Source organism: Homo sapiens, chromosome X, assembly GCF_000001405.40.
Source record: "Homo sapiens chromosome X, GRCh38.p14 Primary Assembly".
Lineage (NCBI taxonomy): Eukaryota > Metazoa > Chordata > Mammalia > Primates > Hominidae > Homo > Homo sapiens.
Window position 1 is genome coordinate 136,832,531 of NC_000023.11, and position 18,627 is coordinate 136,851,157.

The 18,627-nt window shown below is 42.4% G+C and overlaps 1 pseudogene, besides 1 other annotated feature; it reads left to right on the forward strand.

The window, feature by feature from the left end:
* Positions 2,181 to 2,682: an enhancer, noted in NCBI's record as "NANOG hESC enhancer chrX:135916870-135917371 (GRCh37/hg19 assembly coordinates)". NCBI's record gives its function as "activates a minimal SCP1, AML or CMV promoter by ChIP-STARR-seq in naive H9 embryonic stem cells {active_cell/tissue: H9 hESC(naive)}" and the evidence as "EXISTENCE:reporter gene assay evidence [ECO:0000049][PMID:30033119]".
* On the forward strand, positions 14,667 to 17,595 carry RAB28P5 (RAB28, member RAS oncogene family pseudogene 5; annotated as a pseudogene).

Here is an 18,627-nt window from a genome sequence, read left to right on the forward strand (position 1 = left end):
TCTTTATATGTTAAAAGTCTAAGAATATGATTTTATAATTGCAGTTTTATGGAATCATTTTAAACATATTAAGAGAAGAAAAGATTAATTGTACACATACACATATAAGGAACTTCAAAAAGTTTGTGGGAAAAATGGAATTAAAAACAAAAATGTAAGGTCAGGCATGGAGGCTCATGCCTGTAATCCCAGCAGTGTGGGAGGCCGAGGCAGATGCATCACCTGAGGTCAGGAGTTCGAAACCAACCTGGCCAACATGGTGAAACTCCGTCTCTACTAAAAATGTAAAAATTAGCTGGGTGTGGTGGCGGGTACCTGTAATCCCAGCTACTTGGGAGGCTGAGGCAGGAGAATCGCTTGAACCCGGGAGGCGGAGGTTGCAGTGAGCCGAGATCATGCCATTGCACTCCAGCCTGGGCAGTAAGAGCAAAACTCCATCTCAAAAAAAAAAAAAAAAAGTAAATATAAACTTTATTTCTCAACATAAGCTCCATCAAGTTCAAGACACTTTGGTAAGGGATGATACCAGTCATTTAGTCCATCCCTAAAGAACTGAGGGTTCTGGGAATTTAAGCATGTCTATGTTGTCTTTTTTATATTACTAGCTGAAGAAAAATGGGTGCCCTTTACAGATTCTTAAGATTAGGAAACAAAAAGAAGTCAGAAGGAACCAAATCAGGACTATAAGGCAGATGCCTAATTATTTTTCGTCAAAATTCTCACGAAATTGCCCTTATTTGATGACAATGATGAGCAGGAACATTGTTATTGTAAAGAAGGACTCTCTGGTGAAGCTTTCCCAGGTGTTTTTCTGCTAAAACTTCGGCTAACATTCTCAAGACATTCTCATAATAAGCAAATTTTATTGTTCTTTGGCCTTCCAGAAAGTCAACAAGCAAAATGCCTTGAGCATCTGTAAACACTGTTGCCATGACCTTTGTTCTTGACTACTGTGCTTTTGCTTTGACTGAACCACTCCAACTGTTGGTAGCCATTGCTTTGTGCTTTGCCTTCAGGATTGTACTGGTAAGGCAACGTTTCATATCCTGTTACAAGTCTTCAAAGAAGTGCTTCAAAATCTTGATCCCGCTTATTTAAGATTTCCTTTGAAAGCTCTGTTCTTGTCTGAAGCTGATCTGGCTACAATGGTATTGGCACCCATCAAGTAGAAAATTTGCTCAACTTTAGTTTTTCAGTCAGAATTGGGTGAGCGGAACCAACTGAAGGGTCTATGATGTTGGCTATTGGTTCTGTCGCTGATCATTGGTGATTATTAGGTACTCCTTCAATTAGGGCATGAGCAAGATGAACTCATGCCTTAATTGAAAGAGCACCAACTGAAGGAGCAACTTTTCTCCTCACAAACTGATGTGGATGGTCTGCCACTGTGGGCTTCATCTTCAACATTGTCTCATCCCTTCTTAAAATGAGTTATCCGTGCTGGGCACAGTGGCTGACGCCTGCAATCCCAACACTTTGGCAGGCCGAGGCGGGCAGATCACTTGCAGAAGTTCAAGACCAGCCTGGGCATTATGGTGAAACTCTATCTCTACAAAAAATACAAAAATTAGCTGGGCATAGTGGTGCACACCTGTAGTCCCAGCTAATAGGGAGGCTGAGGTAGGAGGATCACTTGAGCCTGGGAGGTTGAGGCTTCAGTGAGCCATGAACATGCCACTGTACTCCAGTCTAGGTGACAGAGCAAGACCCTGTCTCAAAAAATAAAAAGGAAATGAGTTATCCATTTGTAAACTGCTGATTTCTTTGGAGCTTTGTCCCCACAAACTTTTCATAATGCATCAATGATTTCACCATTCTTCCACCCAAGCTTCACCATAATGTTTGTTCTAACTTCAAATTTGGCAGAAGTCATGTTGCTCTGATAGAGGCTATTTCCAAACTGATGTCTTATCCTTTTCATACCTCAAACTAGAGGTTGTTAAGGTATGTTATAACAAGTTAGTGCAAGTTTATTTGGATGCTAAAATTTTTGGAATCCATGTATAGTTTTTTCATAATATTGCAATTCCATGAACTTTTAGAAAACTCCGTGTGTGTGTGTGTGTGTGGAGATACATACACCTTACACGGTTTATAATTGCCTACATAATTACTTTTACTTGTGCTTTTCATTTGTTTCTGTGGATTAGATTTAATCTCTAGTGTTCATTATTTTCTCCCTAAAGAACTTCTTTTGGCATTTCTTTTGGGTTTATTCTTCTAATTTCTTGTAAGGCAGTTATGCTAGCAATATATTTTATCATTCGTTTGGGAATTTATTTTGCCTTCAGTTTTGAAGAATACTTTTGCTGCATATAGATTCCTGCTTGAAAGATTTTTCTTTAAGCACTTGGAATATATCATCTTACTGCCTGCTGGCATCCATTGTTTCTGATGAGAGGCCAGGTGTTAATCTACATGTTTCTTACATGTGTAGATTCATGGAATCATCACCACAATCAAAATGTAGAATTGTTCCATCATGATAATGCTCCTTCATTCAGTCTCTATAGCCACATTCAGCCCCTCCATGCCCCACTCCTTGGCAACTATTGATCTGTTCCCCATCTCTATAATCTTGTTATTTTAAGAATGTTATTTAAATGAAATCATACATTATGCAACCTTTTGAGGTTGACTTTTTCACTCAGCATAATTCTCTGGAGATTTATCTAGGTATTTGCATGTATTGATAGTACATTCTTTTTTGCTGTGTAGTATTTCATGATATGGATATAGCACATTTTGTTTAACCATTCACCCATTGAAGTATGTTGGGGTTATTTGCAGTTTGGGCTAGTATAAAGAAAGCTGCTTTCAGCCAGACACAGAGGCTCATGCCTGTACTCCCAGCACTTTTGAAAGCCAAGGTGGGCAGATCGATTTGAGGTCAGGAGTGAGACCAGCCTGGCCAATATGGCAAAACCCTGTCTCTACAAAAAATACAAAAATTAGCCAGGGGTGGTGGCAGCAGAGGTTGCAGTGAGTCAAGATCACGCCACTGCACTCCAGCCTCCTGGGTGACAGAGCTACGCTCTGTCAAGGAAGGGAGGGAGGGAGGGAGGGAAGGAGGAAGGAAGGAAACAAGGAAGGAAGGAAGGAAGGAAGGAAGGAAGGAAGGAAGGAAGCTGCTTGAGGGAGGGAGGGAGGAAGGAAGGAAGGAAGGAAGGAAGCTGCTTTCAACATTCACATACAGGTTTATGAACCTAAGTTTTCATTTCTCTAGGATAAGTGCCCAAGAGTGCACTTGCCGTATCATACAGTAAGTGAGGTATAATTTTTTAAGAAACTACAAAAATATTCTCCAGAGTGGCTATACCACTTTTACATTGTTACCAGCAATGTATGAGTGATCCAGCTTGGTAAGTCCTTACCAGCATATGGTGTTGATATGGTTTGGCTCTGTGTCTCACCCAAATCTCATCTCGAATTGTAATCTACATAATCCCCACGTGTTGAGGGAGGGACCTGGTGGGAGGTGATTGGATCATGGGGGTATTTCCCCCATGCTGTTCTCACAATAGTGAGTGAGTTCTCATGAGATCTGATGGTTTTATAAGTGTTTGACAGTTCCTTCTCACATACTGTCTCACCTGCCACCACGTAAAATGTGCCTGCTTCCCCTTACACCATGATTGTAAGTTTCCTGCGGACTCCGGAGCCATGCAGAACTGTGAGTCAACTAAACCCCTTTCCTTTATAAATTACCCAGTCTCAGACAGTATCTTTATAGCAGTGTGAGAATGGAATAATACAGGTTGTCACTATTTTTTTTAATGTTAGCCAACCTGATAGTTATATAGCGATATCTCACTACAGTTTTAATTTTCATTTCTGTAATGGCTAATGATGTTGGCCATCTTATTATGTGCTTACTTACCATCCGTTGTCCTTTTCAGTGAATGTCTGTTCATATCTTTAGCTCAATTTCTTTTCTTTTTTTTTTTTTTTTGAGACCAAGTCTCGCTCTGTCACCCAGGCTGGAATGCAGTGGCAAGATCTCGGCTCACTGCAACCTCCACCTCCCAGGTTCAAGCGATTCTCCTGCCTCAGCCTCCCGAGTAGCTGAGATTACGGGTACCTGCCACCACGTCCGGCTGATTTTTGTATTTTTAATAGAGACAGGGTTTCACCATGTTGGCCAGACTGGTCTCGAACTCCTGACCTCAGGTGATTCACCCACCTCGGCCTCCCAAAGTACTGGGATTACAGGTGTGAGCCACCACACCCGGCCCTCTTTAGCTCAATTTCTAATTGAAATGCTTGTTTTTTTAACTGTTGAATTTTGAGAGCTCTTTATATATTATAGATCCAGGGCTTTTGTCAGATATGTGGTTTGCAAATATTTTCTCAGTCTTGGCCTAGTCTTTTTATTCTCTTAACAAGGTCTTTTGCAGATCAAAATTTTTTTATTTTGATGAAGTTCAATTTATCCATTTTGTTTCCTTTGTGGATTGCACTTTGGTGTCAAATCCAAAAACTCTTCACCTGTCTTTAGGTCCAACAGATTTTGTCATACTTTTTTTCCCAAAAGTTTTATAATTTTACACTTAATATTTAAATATGAGATCCATTTGGAATTAATTTTGTATAAGTCATGAGGTTTAGGTTAAGATTAGCTTTTTTTATTTTTAACCTAGATGTCCAATTGTTCTAGCACTGTTTGTTAAAAATGCTATTCTTCCTCCCTTGAGTTACTTTTATGCCATTGTCAAAAATCTTTTAGGCAGCTAGGCGTGGTGGCTCATGTCTGTAATCCCAGCACTTTGGGAGGCTGAGGCAGGCGGATCCCTTGAGGTCAGGAGTCCAAGACCAGCCTGGCCCACATGGCAAAACCCCATCTCTACTAAAAAACAAGCCAGGTGTGGTGGTGCATGCCTGTAGTCCCAGCTACTCGGGAGGCTGAGGCAGAAGAATCACTTGAACCCGGGAGGCGGAGGTTGCAGTGAGCCAAGATCATGCCATTGCGCTCCATCCTAGGCAACAAGAGCGAAACTCTGCCTCAAAAACAAAAAACAACAAATGTCTTAGGCATATTTGTGTGGGTCTATTTCTGGGTTGTCTATTCTGTCCTGTTAATCTTTATGGCTGGCTACCCCTCAACCAATACCACATTGTCCAGATTATAGGATTTATGTATTAGCCTTTAACATCAAGTAGAGTAATTTCTCCTACTTTATTCTTTCTCAAGTTTGTTTTAAGTATTTTAGAGACTGTTCCTTTTCATGAAAAATTTTGAATAATCTTGTATATGCTTTCTGCATCAATCAATATAATATTATTTTCTTTTTGGTGGGGGGCTGATGGGAGGGCTTGGGGAACAGGGTCTCACTGTCGCCCAGGTTGGAGTGCAGTGGCGCAATCTTGGCTCACTGCAACCTCCGCCTCCTAGGCTCAAGCGATCCTCCCATGTCAGCCTCCCAAGTAGCTGGGACTATAGGTGTGTGCCACCATGCCCGGCTAATTTTTGTGTTTTTGGTAGAGACAGGGTTTCACCATGTTGGCCAGGCTGGTCTCAAACTCCTGACCTCAAATGATCTGCCCACCTCGGCCTCCCAAAGTGCTGGGATTACAGGTGTAAGCCATCGCATCCAGCCTATTTTCTTCCTTAGTCTATTGATATGGTGGACTACATTAATTGATCTTTGAATATTGAGCCAGTCTTGCATTACTGGTTTAAATCTCTTAACCTGTTTTAGTCAAGGTTCCCCAGAAAGAACCAATGGAATATACATAGAAAGAGATATATGAGAAGGGATTTATTAGGGGAATTGGCTCACTCAATTATGGAAGCTGAGAAGTCCTACAATAGGCCATCTGTAAGTCTGAGAACCAGGAAAGCCAGTGGCATGGCTCAGTTCCAGTTCAAAGACCTCCAACCCAGGGAAGCTGATGGTGTAATGCTCAGCCTGAGGCTCAAGGCCCCAGAGCCCAGGTGGCTGCTGGTGTGAGTCCCAAAGGCCAGAGAAACAACTGGATTTCTTAAATCTAAGGGCAGGAGAAGAAGGGTGACCTGGCTCCAGAAGAAAGAGCAAGAATTTTTTTCTTCCCCCAACCTTGTGTTACACCCAGGCTCACAGCTGATTGAACGGTGCTCACCAACATGAGGGCAAATCTTGTCCATTCAGTTCACCAACTCAAATGCCAATCTCCTCTGGAAACACCGTCACAGACACACCTGGAGCAGCCAAATCATTCTAATCAAATGCCAAACTACCTGAGTTTCCCTTTAAGCAGAAGAGGGATGGGCTCGGTGCTTAATGAAACATTAAGAATAATGAATTATTTACCAGTTTTCCAGAATTCCTTAACCAGTCGACACCCAAAATCAATCATCACAGTTGTGGTATATAATTTGTGTGTTGCTGCATTTGAGATACACACACACACACACACAAACACATATATATATATTTGAGACAGTCTGGCTTTGTCACCCAGGCTGGAGTACAGTGGCATGATCACGGCTCACTGTAACCTCCACCTCCCAGGTTTAAGCGAATTCTCCTGCCTCAGCCTACTAAGTAGCTGGGATTACAGGCGTGCACCACCACTCCCAGCTAACTTTTGTATTTTTAGTAGAGACAGAGTTTCCCCATGTTGGCCAGGCTGGTCTCGAACTCCCAGCCTCAAGCAATTTGGCTGCCTTGGCCTCCCAAAGTGCTGGGGTTACAGGTGTGAGCCACTGGGCCCAGCCTGATTTGCTAATATTTTATTAAGGATTTTTGTTTCCACATTTATTATGAGAGACATTAGTTTATAGTTTTTGCTTTTGTGCTCTCTTCAGTTTTGGGATCACAGTAATAGTGGCCTCATAAAATGAGCTAGGAAGTGTTCCATCCTCTTCTATTTCTGGGGGGAGATTGTGTAATACTGATGTTAATTCTTTAAATGTTTGGGATGATTCTTCAGTGAACAAAGTGATATAAGCACGGAGATTTCTTTTTTAGAAGCCTTTTAGTTATGAATTCATTTTCTTTAATGGTTAAAGGACTATTCTGATGATTTGGGGGTTTTTTGTTGTTGTTGTTGCTTTTTTTTTGAGATGGAGTTTCACTCTTGTTGCCCAGGCTGGAGTGCAATGGCGCCATCTCGGCTCACTGCAACCTCTGCCTCCCGGGTTCAAGCGATTCTCCTGCCTCAGCCTCCCGAGTAGCTGGGATTACAGGCATGCACCACCACGCCCGGCTAATTTTGTATTTTAGGTAGGTAGAGATGGGGTTTCTCCATGTTGGTCATGGATGGTCTCGAACTCCCGACCTCAGGTGATCTGCCCGCCTCAGCCTTCCAAAGTGCTGGGATTACAGGCACGAGCCACCGCGCCCAGCCGTTGTTGTTTTCAAACTACTGTGCTCAAGTGAACCTCCCCTCAGCCTCCCAAAGTGTTGGAATTACAGGCATGAGCCACTGCGCCTGGCTCAATTTGTTTTATCTTGATTTAGTTTGGGTATCTGCATGGTTTTGGAAAAACTGACCAGTTTCTTCTAAGTTGTCAAGTTTATGAGTGTCAAGTTGGTCCTAATATTTTCTTTTTCATTTTTTTAACAACTATAGACTCTGTAGTGATATCACTGTTTGAATCCTGATAGTGGTACTTACGTTGTCTCTCTTTTTATCTTTGTCAGTCTTGCTACAGGTTTATCAATTTTATTTTCATTTTTTAAGAATAACTAGTTTTAGGGAGGCAGAGGTTGTAGTGAGCCGAGATCGCACCACTGCACTCCAGCTTGATGACAGAGCAAGACTCTGTCTCAAAAAAAAAAAAAAAAAAAAAAAAAAAAAAAAGAATAACCAGGTTTTTTGCAACATAGATTTTAACATTTTTAATTTTGTTATTGATACATAATAGTTGTACTTATTTATTGGATACATGTGATATTTTGATATGTGTACAATGTATGATAATCATATCAGGGTAATTGAGGTATCCATCAGCTCAAGCCTTTGAACATTCCAAATTCCACTCTTTCAGTTATTTCAAAATATACAATAAATTAGAGATAACTATAGTTGCCCTATCATGCTAGTGAACATTAGATCTTATTCCTTGTATCTAACTGTATTTCTACCATTAACCATCACTTTTTATCCTCTCTTCCCACTACTCTTCCCAGCCTCTGGTAACCATCATTCTACTCTCTATCTTCATGAGTTCAATGTTTTTTTTTTAGCTCTCAAATATGAGTAATAACATGCAATATTTGTCTTTCTGTACCTGGCTTATCTTGCTTAACATAATATCTTCCAGCTCCATCCATGCTGTTACAAATGACAAGATTTTCTTCTTTATTTATGGATGAATTTCATTGTGTATATGTACCACATTTTAGAAGAACAAATTTTTGTTTTATTGGTTTCTCTATTGTTTTCCTGTTTTCAAGTGATCTTTTTTTTTTTTTTTGAGATGGAGTCTCACTCTGTGGCCCAGGCTGGAATGCAGTGGCTCAATCTCGGCTCACTGCAATCTCCGGCTCCCGGGTTCGAGCTATTCTCCTGCCTCGGCCTCCCAAATAGCTGGGATTACAGGCATGTGCCACCACGCCCAGCTAATTTTTGTATTTTTAGTAGAGACAGTGTTTCACCATGTAGGCCAGGCTAGTCTCAAACTCCCGACCTCAAGTGATCCTCCCACCTCGGCCTCCCAAAGTGCTGGGATTACAGGCATGAGCCACCACGCTCGGCCTCAGTGATTTCTCTTCTTGCACTGTTTCTTCTGCTTTCTTTGGTTTATTTTTTAACTTTTTTTTTAGTAGAGATAGGGTCCCACTAGTTGTCTGGGCTGGTCTTGAACTCCTGGGATCAAGCAATCCTCCTGCCTCAGCCTCCCCAAGTGCTGGGATTACAGGCATAAGCCATTGCGTCCAGTCCTTTGGTTTCATTTGCTTTTCTTTTTCTAGTTGCTTGAATCAGGAACTTAGATTATTAATTTAGATTATTAATTTGAGATCTTTCCTTTTTTCTAATATAAGCATCATTTAGTATTATAAATTTCTCTTTCATGAAATTGTAAAATGGTATAGCCACTTTGGAAAATAGTTTTGTATTTCCTCAAAATGGTAAACAATGAGTTAGTTACCTTAGGACCCAGCAATTCTACTCTGAGGTATATACCCCGAAGAACTGAAAACACAGGGGTTCTTACCAAAACCTGCTCAGGAATGTTCACAGCAGCATTATTCATCATAGACAAAAAGTGTAACTCCCAAATATCTATCAACTGATGAATGGACAAAGCAAATGTGATACATTCATACAATGTAATATTATTTGACCAAGAGATGAAGTACTGATGTGTACCTCAATGTGCATGAACTTCAAAAACATTCTAAGAAGCCAGTCATGAAAGACTAAATATTGTATGATTCAATTTATATGCAAGTACAGAATAGGAAAATTCATAGAAACAGAACGTAGTTATTTCCGGGCCCAGGGACAAAAAGGAATAGCAAGTGACTAAGAGTAAGTATGGGGTTTCTTTTTAGGGTGATAGAAATTTTATTTTTTTTTTTTGAAACAAGGTCTCACTCTGTCAAGCAGACTGACGTACAGTGGGTGTGATCATAGCTCACTGCAGCCTTAACCTCCTGGGCTCGAGCAATCCTCTTGCCTCAGCCTCCCAAGTAGCATGGACTACAGGCACGTGCTACCTACCATGCCTGGCTAAAATATTCTTAAGTTAGATAGTGGTGACGGTTGCACAACTCTGTAAATATGCTTTAAAAAGAAAAAAAAACCCAAAACATTGAATTGCACACTATAAAACGTAAATTAAGCCGGGTGCAGTGGTTCATGCCTATAATCCCACCACTTTGGGATGCCAAGGCAAGAGGATCACATAAGCCCAGGAGCTCCAGACTGGCCTGAGCAGCGAGACCCCATCTCTACAAAAATAAAATTAGCCAGGCGTGGTGGTATGTATTTCTATTACTGATTTCCAGTTTGGTTCCATTACAGTCAGAGGACATATTGTGTGTGGTAGGCAGAATAATGGCCACCCAAAGATGTCTACATCTTAATCTTTGGAACCTGTATATATCTTATGATACATGGCAAAGAGGAATTAAGATTGCAGATGAAATTAAAGATGCTAATCAGTTTACTAAAAATAGGAGATTGCCCTGGTTTATCCACATGGGCCCAATCTAATCATAAAAGTGGAAGAGGTGCCAGGCAAGGTGGCTCACGCCTGTAATCCCAGCACTTTGGGAGGCCAAGGTGGGTGGATTACCTGAGGTCAGGAGTTCGAGACCAGCCTGAGCAACATGGCGAAACCCCATCTCTACTAAAAATACAAAATTAGCAGGGCGTGGTGGCGCATGCCTGTAATCAGAGCTACTTGGGAGGCTGAGACAGGAGAATCGCTTGAACCCGGGAGGTGGAAGTTGCAATGAGCCAAGATCACGCCACTGCACCCCAGCCTGGGCAACAGGAGCGAAACTGGGTCTAAAAAAAAAAAAAGTGGAAGAGGGAAGCAAAAAAAAGAGTTGCAGCATGACAAGGATTTAATCTGCCATTGCTGACTTTGAAGATGAAGGAAGCGAGACACAAGCCAAGGAATCTGTTAGCCTCTAAAAGCTGGGAACATCTTCAGTTTATAGTCTACAAGTAAATATGGACTTCATTCCTACAACCACAAGGAATTGAAGTATGTCAACAACTGAGTAAGGAAATGGATTCTCCCTTAGAACCTATAGAAAGGAATGCAGCCGGCCAGGCACAGTAGCTCATGCCTGTAATCCCAGAACTTTGGAGACTGAGGCAGGTGGATCACCTGAGGTTAGGAGTTCGAGACCAGCCTGACCAACATGGAGAAACCCCATCTCTACTAAAAATACAAAATTAGCTGGGCATGGTGGGGCATGCCCATAATCCCAGCTACTCCGGAGGCTGAGGCAGGAGAATCGCTTGAACCCGGGAGGCAGAGGTTGTGGTGAGCCGAGATCGCACCATTGCAGTCCAGTCTGGGCAAGAAGAGCAAAACTCCATCTCAAAAAAAAAAAGAAAGGAATGCAGCTCTTCTGGTGCCTTGATTTTAACCTGAGACCCATGTCAGACACCTGACTTACAGAAATGTAAGATATTTGTAATTATCTAAACCACTAAATATGTGGTAATTTGTTATAGCAGCAACAGAAAATGAATATGCTCTGAGTTGAATTTTTCTTTAATTGAGTTTTATGACCCAGGATATGGTTCTATCTTGGTGAATAGTTTATGGACACTTGAAAGTAACGTGTATTCTGTTGTTGGGTAAAGTGTTCTATAAATGTCAATTGGATCCTCTTAGTTGATGACATTCTTCAGTTCTTCTATATCTTTGCTGATTATATTTACAGTAGTCTGTCAATACTGGGTGTGGATACTGAAATCCCATCTACAATTATGGATTTTTAAATTTCTTCTTAATTCTATCAGTTTTTATTTATGTAGCTTAAGCTTTGTTGTTTGGTGCATACAAAAGTAAGGATCATTATGTCTTCTTTAGATTGATCCTTTCATCAATAAATAATGCCCCTCTTTATCCCTAGTAATTTTCTTTGCTTTGAAGTCTACTGCATCTGATATTAATACACTCCTGATTATTTCATTAGTATATTAATACTTCTATGACACATCTTTTTCTATCCTTTTACTTTCAACTTACCTATGTCAACCATGTTTTGAAGTCAGCTTACTGTACATAGCACATAGTTGGATTACATTCTGTATCTACTCTTCCAATTTGTATTACAATTAGTGTATTCAGATCATTAAAATTCATAATAATTATTGATGTGTTAGGGCTTATGTTTGCCATTTATTTTTTTTCTGTCCCTTCTGTTTCTCAGTTTCTCATTCCTGTTTTTCTTTACTTTCTTTCATGTTTTTTTTTTTTTTTTTTTGAGACAGAGTCTTGCTGTGTTGCCCAGACTGGAGTGCAATGGCGCCATCTCGGCTCACTGCAACCTCCACCTCCCAGGTTCAACTGAATCTCCTGCCTCAGCCTCCCGAGTAGCTGGGATTACAGGCATGAGCTACCATGCCCGGCTAATTTTTGTAGTTTTAGTACAGATGGGGTTTCACCATACTGGCCAGGCTGGTCTCGAACTCCTGACCTCCGGTGATTCGCCCGCCTCAGCCTCCCAAAGTGCTGGGATTACAAGCGTGAGCCACCGCGCCCGGCCTCATGTGAGTTTCTTAAACATTCTGTAGAATTATATCTTGAATTAGCTATAGTATTTTTGAACATATCACTTTGTATAGGCTTAGTGGTCACTCTATCACAATATAAATATATAACTAGTCACAGTCTAGTGATATCAACAATTTATACAATTTATATTTTGAATGAAGTGCAGAAACTTTGCTTCCATTTAGGTCTCTTTACCCTCCCCACTCCTAAAACATATTTATGTATTACATCTATTTAAAAATATAATTATATGCAAAGTGTATGTAGTGACAATGTACATTTCCTCTACAAACACTGAGTACCATATCAGATGATAAGACTTTGGTTCAACCACCACATATTTCTAAAACTGTTGAAGATAGTCTATTATTCTTATTCCTACTTTTACCTATTCCATTGTTCTTTTTTCTTTTTGAAGTTCCATGTCTTCTGTTATAATTTCCTTTGTTTGGAGAACTTCCATCAGCCATTCTTTGAGAGTAGGTCTGCTAGCATCAAATTCTCTGTTTTCTTTGTGTAAAAATGTCTTTATTTCTCCTTCATTCCTCAAGGATATCGTCACCAGAGATAGAATTTGTAATTGATAGTTATCTTCTTGAGATAACTTGAAAAATATTGTGCCACTGCCTTCTGACCTCCATTGTTTCAGGTGAAAAATTTGCTGCCATTCAAATTGGTGTTCCCCTATATACAACACATCATTTCTCTGTAGCCACTTTCAAGACTTTTCCTTTTAGTTTTCAAAAGTTTCATTAAGATGTGTCTTAGCAGGTCAGGCACGGTGGCTCATGCCTGTAATCCCAGCACTTTGGGAGGCCGAGGCGGGGGGATTACCTGAGGTCAGGAGTTCAAGACCAGCCTGGCCAGCACGGTGAATCCCCATCTCTACTAAAAATACAAAAATTAGCTGGGTGTGATGGTAGGTGCCTGTAATCCCAGCTACTCGGGAGGCTGAGGCAGGAGAATCACTTGAAACCGGGAGGCGGAGGTTGCAGTGAGGCGAGATTACGCCACTGCACTCCAGCCTGGGCGACAGAGTGAGACTCCTCTAAAAAAAAGAAAAAAAAAGTATCTTAGCATGTATTTCTTTGAGTTTATCCTCTTTGGCATTCATTCGCAACTTCTTGAATCTGTAAGTTTATACCTTTCACAAAATTTAGGAAAATTTCAGCCTTACTTCATCCAATATATTTTCAACCCCACATTTTCTCTCACTTCTTATTCTGTAACTCTTGCGATATGTGTTATTTACTTCTTTTGTTATTGTCCCACAGGTCTCTGGGGCTCTATTCAGTGGCGTGATCTCAGCTCACTGCATGCTCTGCCTCCCAGGTTCACGCCATTCTCCTGCCTCAGCCTCCCTAGTAGCTGGGACTACAGGTGCCCACCACCACACCCGGCTAATTTTTTTGTATTTTTCGTAGAGACGGGGTTTCACCATGTTAGCCAGGATGGTCTCGATCTCCTGACCTCATGATCCGCCCACCTCGGCCTCCCAAAGTGCTGGGATTACAGGTGGGAGCCACCACGCCCAGCCCCACCTTTTTTTTTCTGTGCACCTCTTCCCTTTCTTTCCTTTCTCTACCTTTCATTGGCCTCCCCTTCTCTAATTTTCCATCTGTTCTCTTCTCATCTTTTTTTTCTTTTTTTTCTTGAGATGGAGTCTCACTCTGTCACCCAGGCTGGAGTGCAGTGGCGTGATCTCGGCTCACTGCAACCTCTGCCTCCCAGGTTCAAGCCATTCTCCCACCTCAGCCTCCTGAGTAGCTGGGACTACAGGCACCTGCCACCACACCCAGCTAATTTTTATATTTTTGGTAGAGACGGGGTTTCACCATATTGGCCAGGCCAGTCTCAAACTCCTGACCTCGTGATTCGCCCACCTTGGCCTCCCAAAGTTCTGGGATTACAGGTGTGAGCCACCACACCCTGCCTAGAGTAGTCTTTACTCTAGGAGGTGGTTCTTTCCCCTAAGGTGTGGTTTTTCAATTGAATGCCTATGATGTTAAAAAGTTCTCTCCACTCTGGCTAGGTCAGAACCTCATATTTCTCAGCACTGTGCAACCTCTAGTATCTCCATTCTTTTTTTTTTTTTTTTTTTTTTTTTGAGACAGAGTCTTGCTCTGTCACCCAGGCTGGAGTGCAATAACGCAATGTTGGCTCACTGCAACCTCTACCTCCCAGGTTCAAACCATTCTCCTGCCTCAGCCTCTCAAGTAGCTTGTACTACAGGCATGTGCCACCATACCCAGCTAATTTCTGTATTTTCAGTAGAGATGGGGTTTCACCATGTTGGCCAGGCTGGTCTCAAACTCCTGACTTCAACTGATCCACCCACCTCGGCCTCCCAAAATGCTGGGATTACAGGCATGAGCCACTGCACCCGGCCTTCTCCATTCTTCTTTCAACCCCATAGCAGCTGCTCTTTTCTAGGCCTCACAGAATCTCATACTATGCATGTACAGCCCAGCCCTCAACAAAAGACCCACAGAGGGCAGAGGGAGAAGAGATTGGCAAGATGGCACCTGGCGAGAGATTCTCCAGCCACTGCTGACATCGAGCAGACAAGTGAGGTACTGTCCCCACTACCCTCCCTTCTTCCTCCCTCACCCCTGGAGACCTTCTCCTTCCCCTCCTCCCTCCACCCGGGGGAGCGGGGCAGGCATGGTTCCTGGGACATCATGTAGGACTCTAAGGAAGAGAGCCAGGACCAGCACTGAAAATCATCGTGCTAGGGAACAGCACCTCCCGGAAGACCTCCTTAGCTACAGATTTTGCTCAAAAAACTTTCAGGAACCAGTACAAACTATAGGACTGGATTTCTTTTGAGAAGGATAACATTGCCAGGAAACTTGAATGTTACTCTCTAGTTTGGGATACAGGAGGCCGGACAATAAGAAGCAAAATGTTGGACAGATCCATCTATGGAGCACAGGAAATCATCTTGGTATATGGTATTACAAGTTATCAAAGCTTTGAGAATTTTTAGAAGATTAGTGAAGAAAGTGAGTGAAGAGTCAGAAACTCAGCCGCTGGTTACCTTAGTGGGCAATAAAATTGATTTGGAGCATAATCAAACAGTAAAACCTGAAAAACACTTACGGTTTTGCCAGGAAAATGGTTTTAATAGCCACTTTGTTTCAGCCAAGGCAAGAGACTCTGTCTTCCTGTGTTTTCAAAAAGTTGTTGCTGAAATCCTTGGAATCAAATTAAACAAAGCAGAAATAGAACAGTCACAGAGGGTGGTAAAGGCAGATATTGTAAACTACAACCAGGAACCTATGGCAAGAGCTGTTAACCCTTCTAGAAGCTCTGTGTGTGCAGTTGGGTGAGCTCATTTTTCCATTGTGTTGATAGTTTTGGCTGCCCTTCACCTCTGGGTGTGTCTGAGAACTTCTAAGAACTTGTTTTATCAGTGACCATCTCTGTAGTTCAGTTAACACTTTCCTCCGAACTTGCTTCATCTTTAAGTGTTCCTCCCAACCGCAGGCATGTACTTGGGTTCAAAAGAATTCAACTTTGGGACCACACACTTTGCATTCAAACTGGAAGTCTCATTCTCTGGAATTAGACTGTTTCATTGAAAAAGAATGGTGTCCGGCCGGGCGCGGTGGCTCATGCCTGTAATCCCAGCACTTTGGGAGGCCGAGGTGGGTGGATAACCTGAGGTCAGGAGTTTGAGACCAGCCTGACCAATATGGTGAAACCCCATCTCTACTAAAAATACAAAAAATTAGCCGGGCACGGTAGCGCACACCTGTAATCCCAGCTACTCGGGAGGCTGAGGCAGGAGAATCGCTTGAACCCGGGAGGTGAAGGTTGCAGCCAGCCGAGGTCACGCCATTGCACTCCAGCCTGGGCAACAAGAGTGAAACTCCATCTGGAAAAAAAAAAAAAAGAAAGAAAAGAAATGGTGTTGCTTCTCTGTATGTTCTTGCTTTTTTCCCTGATGTAAATTTTTTTTTTTTTTTTTTTGAGACGGAGTCTCGCTCTGTCGCCCAGGCTGGAGTGCAGTGGTGCAATCTCAGCTTACTGCAAGCTCCGCCTCCTGGGTTCACGCCATTCTCCTGCCTCAGCCTCCCGAGTAGCTGGGCTACAGGAACCCGCCACCACACCCAGCTAATTTTTGTATTTTTAGTAGAGACGGGGTTTCACCGTATTAGCCAGGATGGTCTTGATCTCCTGACCTTGTGATCCGCCCGCCTCGGCCTCCCAAAGTGCTGGGACTACAGGCGTGAGCCACCACGCCCGGCTCCCTACTGTAAATGTTTTAAATATGAAAAGTATCCAAGTCTTGATCATCAGCCAGGATCTTGTCACAGTGGTTTCATTATCTCATGTGAACTCACATATGTCGAAGTATACTTCAGGATGCAAACATCACACAAGTAACATATTTTGCCTATAGATACTTGAGAAGGTATTCTGTTGCTATCAATTGCGAGTAAAAATAAAGCTATCATCTAACTGAAAATGCTCAAAATAAGCCTGTAATAGAAATTTTTTTTCATTTTTAAAAAGGAGCCTGGCCGGGCACAGTGGCTCACATCTGTAATCTCAGCATATTGGGAGGCTGAGGCAGGTGGATCACCTGAGGTCAGAAGTTCGAGACCAGTCTGGCCAACATGGTGAAACCCTGTCTCTACTAAAAATACAAAAAAATTAGCCGGGCATGGTGGCAGACGCCCGTAATCCCAGCTATTCAGGAGGCTGAGGCAGGAGAATGGCTTGAACCCGGGAGGTGGAGGTTGCAGTGAGCTGAGATTGTGCCATTGCATTCTAGTCTGGGTGACAAGAGCAAAATTCCGTCTCAAAATAAATAAATAAATGAATAAATAAAAAGGGGCCTAAATTGCCTATTTTGTAGTTTGTAGTCATGATGTATTGTGTAATACTCAGTTTACATGACTTTATGAATTTAGATAAATGTTCAGCTGATGCTCCACCTGGAATTTCTCCTGCAAACTACATAAGAGTAGTCCAGGAATGAGTTATGACAGGTTTTTTTTGTTTTGGGGGTCTGTCTGTTGTGGTGGTGGGTTTTGTTTTTTTATTTTTTCGGGTTTTTTGTTTTTGAGACAGGGTCTCCCTCTGTCACCCAGGCTGGAGTGCAGAGCCACAACCACACTCACTGCAGCCTCGAACTCCCAGGCTCAGGCAATCCTCCCACCTCAGCCTCCCAAGTAGCTGGAACTACAGGCATGTACCTCCACACCAGCTAATTTTTAAATTTTTTGTAGAGATGGGATCTCACTATGTTTCAAGGGCTGGTCTCAAACTCTTGGCCTCAAGTGATCCTTCTGCCTTGGCCTCCCAAAGTGCTGGTAGTACAGATGTGAGCTACCACACCTGGGCAGTGACATACTGTTGAATCTTTGTAGATCAGACTGTACCTGATGTTCAGATGTTTTTCTCTCACAAATTTAAATTTTCTGAAAAGACCCACAGGGGCCGGGCATGGTGGCTCATGCCTGTAATCTCGATACTTTGGGAGGCCGAGGTGGGTGGATCACCTGAGGTCAGGAATTCAAGACCAGCCTGGCCAACATGGCAAAACCCCATCTCTACTAAAAATACAAAAATTAGCTGGGCATGGTGGCGGACGCCTGTAGTCCCAGCTACTTGAAAGGCTGAGGCAGGAGAATCACTTGAACCTGGGAGGCGGAGGTTGCAATGAGCCGAGATCACAACACTGCACTCCAGCCTGGACAACAGAGTGAGACTCCATGTCAAAAATAAAATAAAAACTTTTAAAAAGACCCACAGGGAACACCCACACCAACATCCGGGGGACACTGTCTATGTCCTTCCTCTTCAAAACCCAAACTGTGATCTTTGCTTCCTTTGTCCAGTGAGAACAATGTGCCGTGTTTGAACTTCACCTTCCTGTGCTACAATCCGAAAACTGCCCCTAGTCAGAGAACTGAGTGAACATGGGGCTCTCCTCGTGTGGCTTTCGTTTCTCAAGGATTGTTCTCCTAGAGTACTTATTGTGCAATGTCTCAAAATAGTTGCCTCATTATATGTTGGTTAGTTTTACAGTTGTTTATGGGGAGAGAGTAGGTGCAGTATCGATTATCCCATCATTTCCAGAAATGGAAGTTGCTTTGTTTACTTTTCTGTGTGTTACAGTTCAATTTTTAAAATCTTTTTCATGCTCATTTTTGTGGTGGAATAAAAATGGTTTTATTTATTTGTTTTATGAGACAGGGTCTCGCTCTGTCACCCAGGCTGGAGTACAGTGGTGTGATCACAGCTTACTGCAGGCTTAATAGGCTCAAGCAATCCTCCGGCCTCAGTCTCCTGAGTAGCTAGGACTATAGGCAAGTGCCATCACGACCAGCTAATTTTATTTTTCATAGAAACAGGGTCTCACTATGTTGCCTAGGCCTCAAGCTATCCTCCCAAAGTGCTGAGACTGGCCTCCCAAAGTGCTGAGATTATGGGTGTGAGCC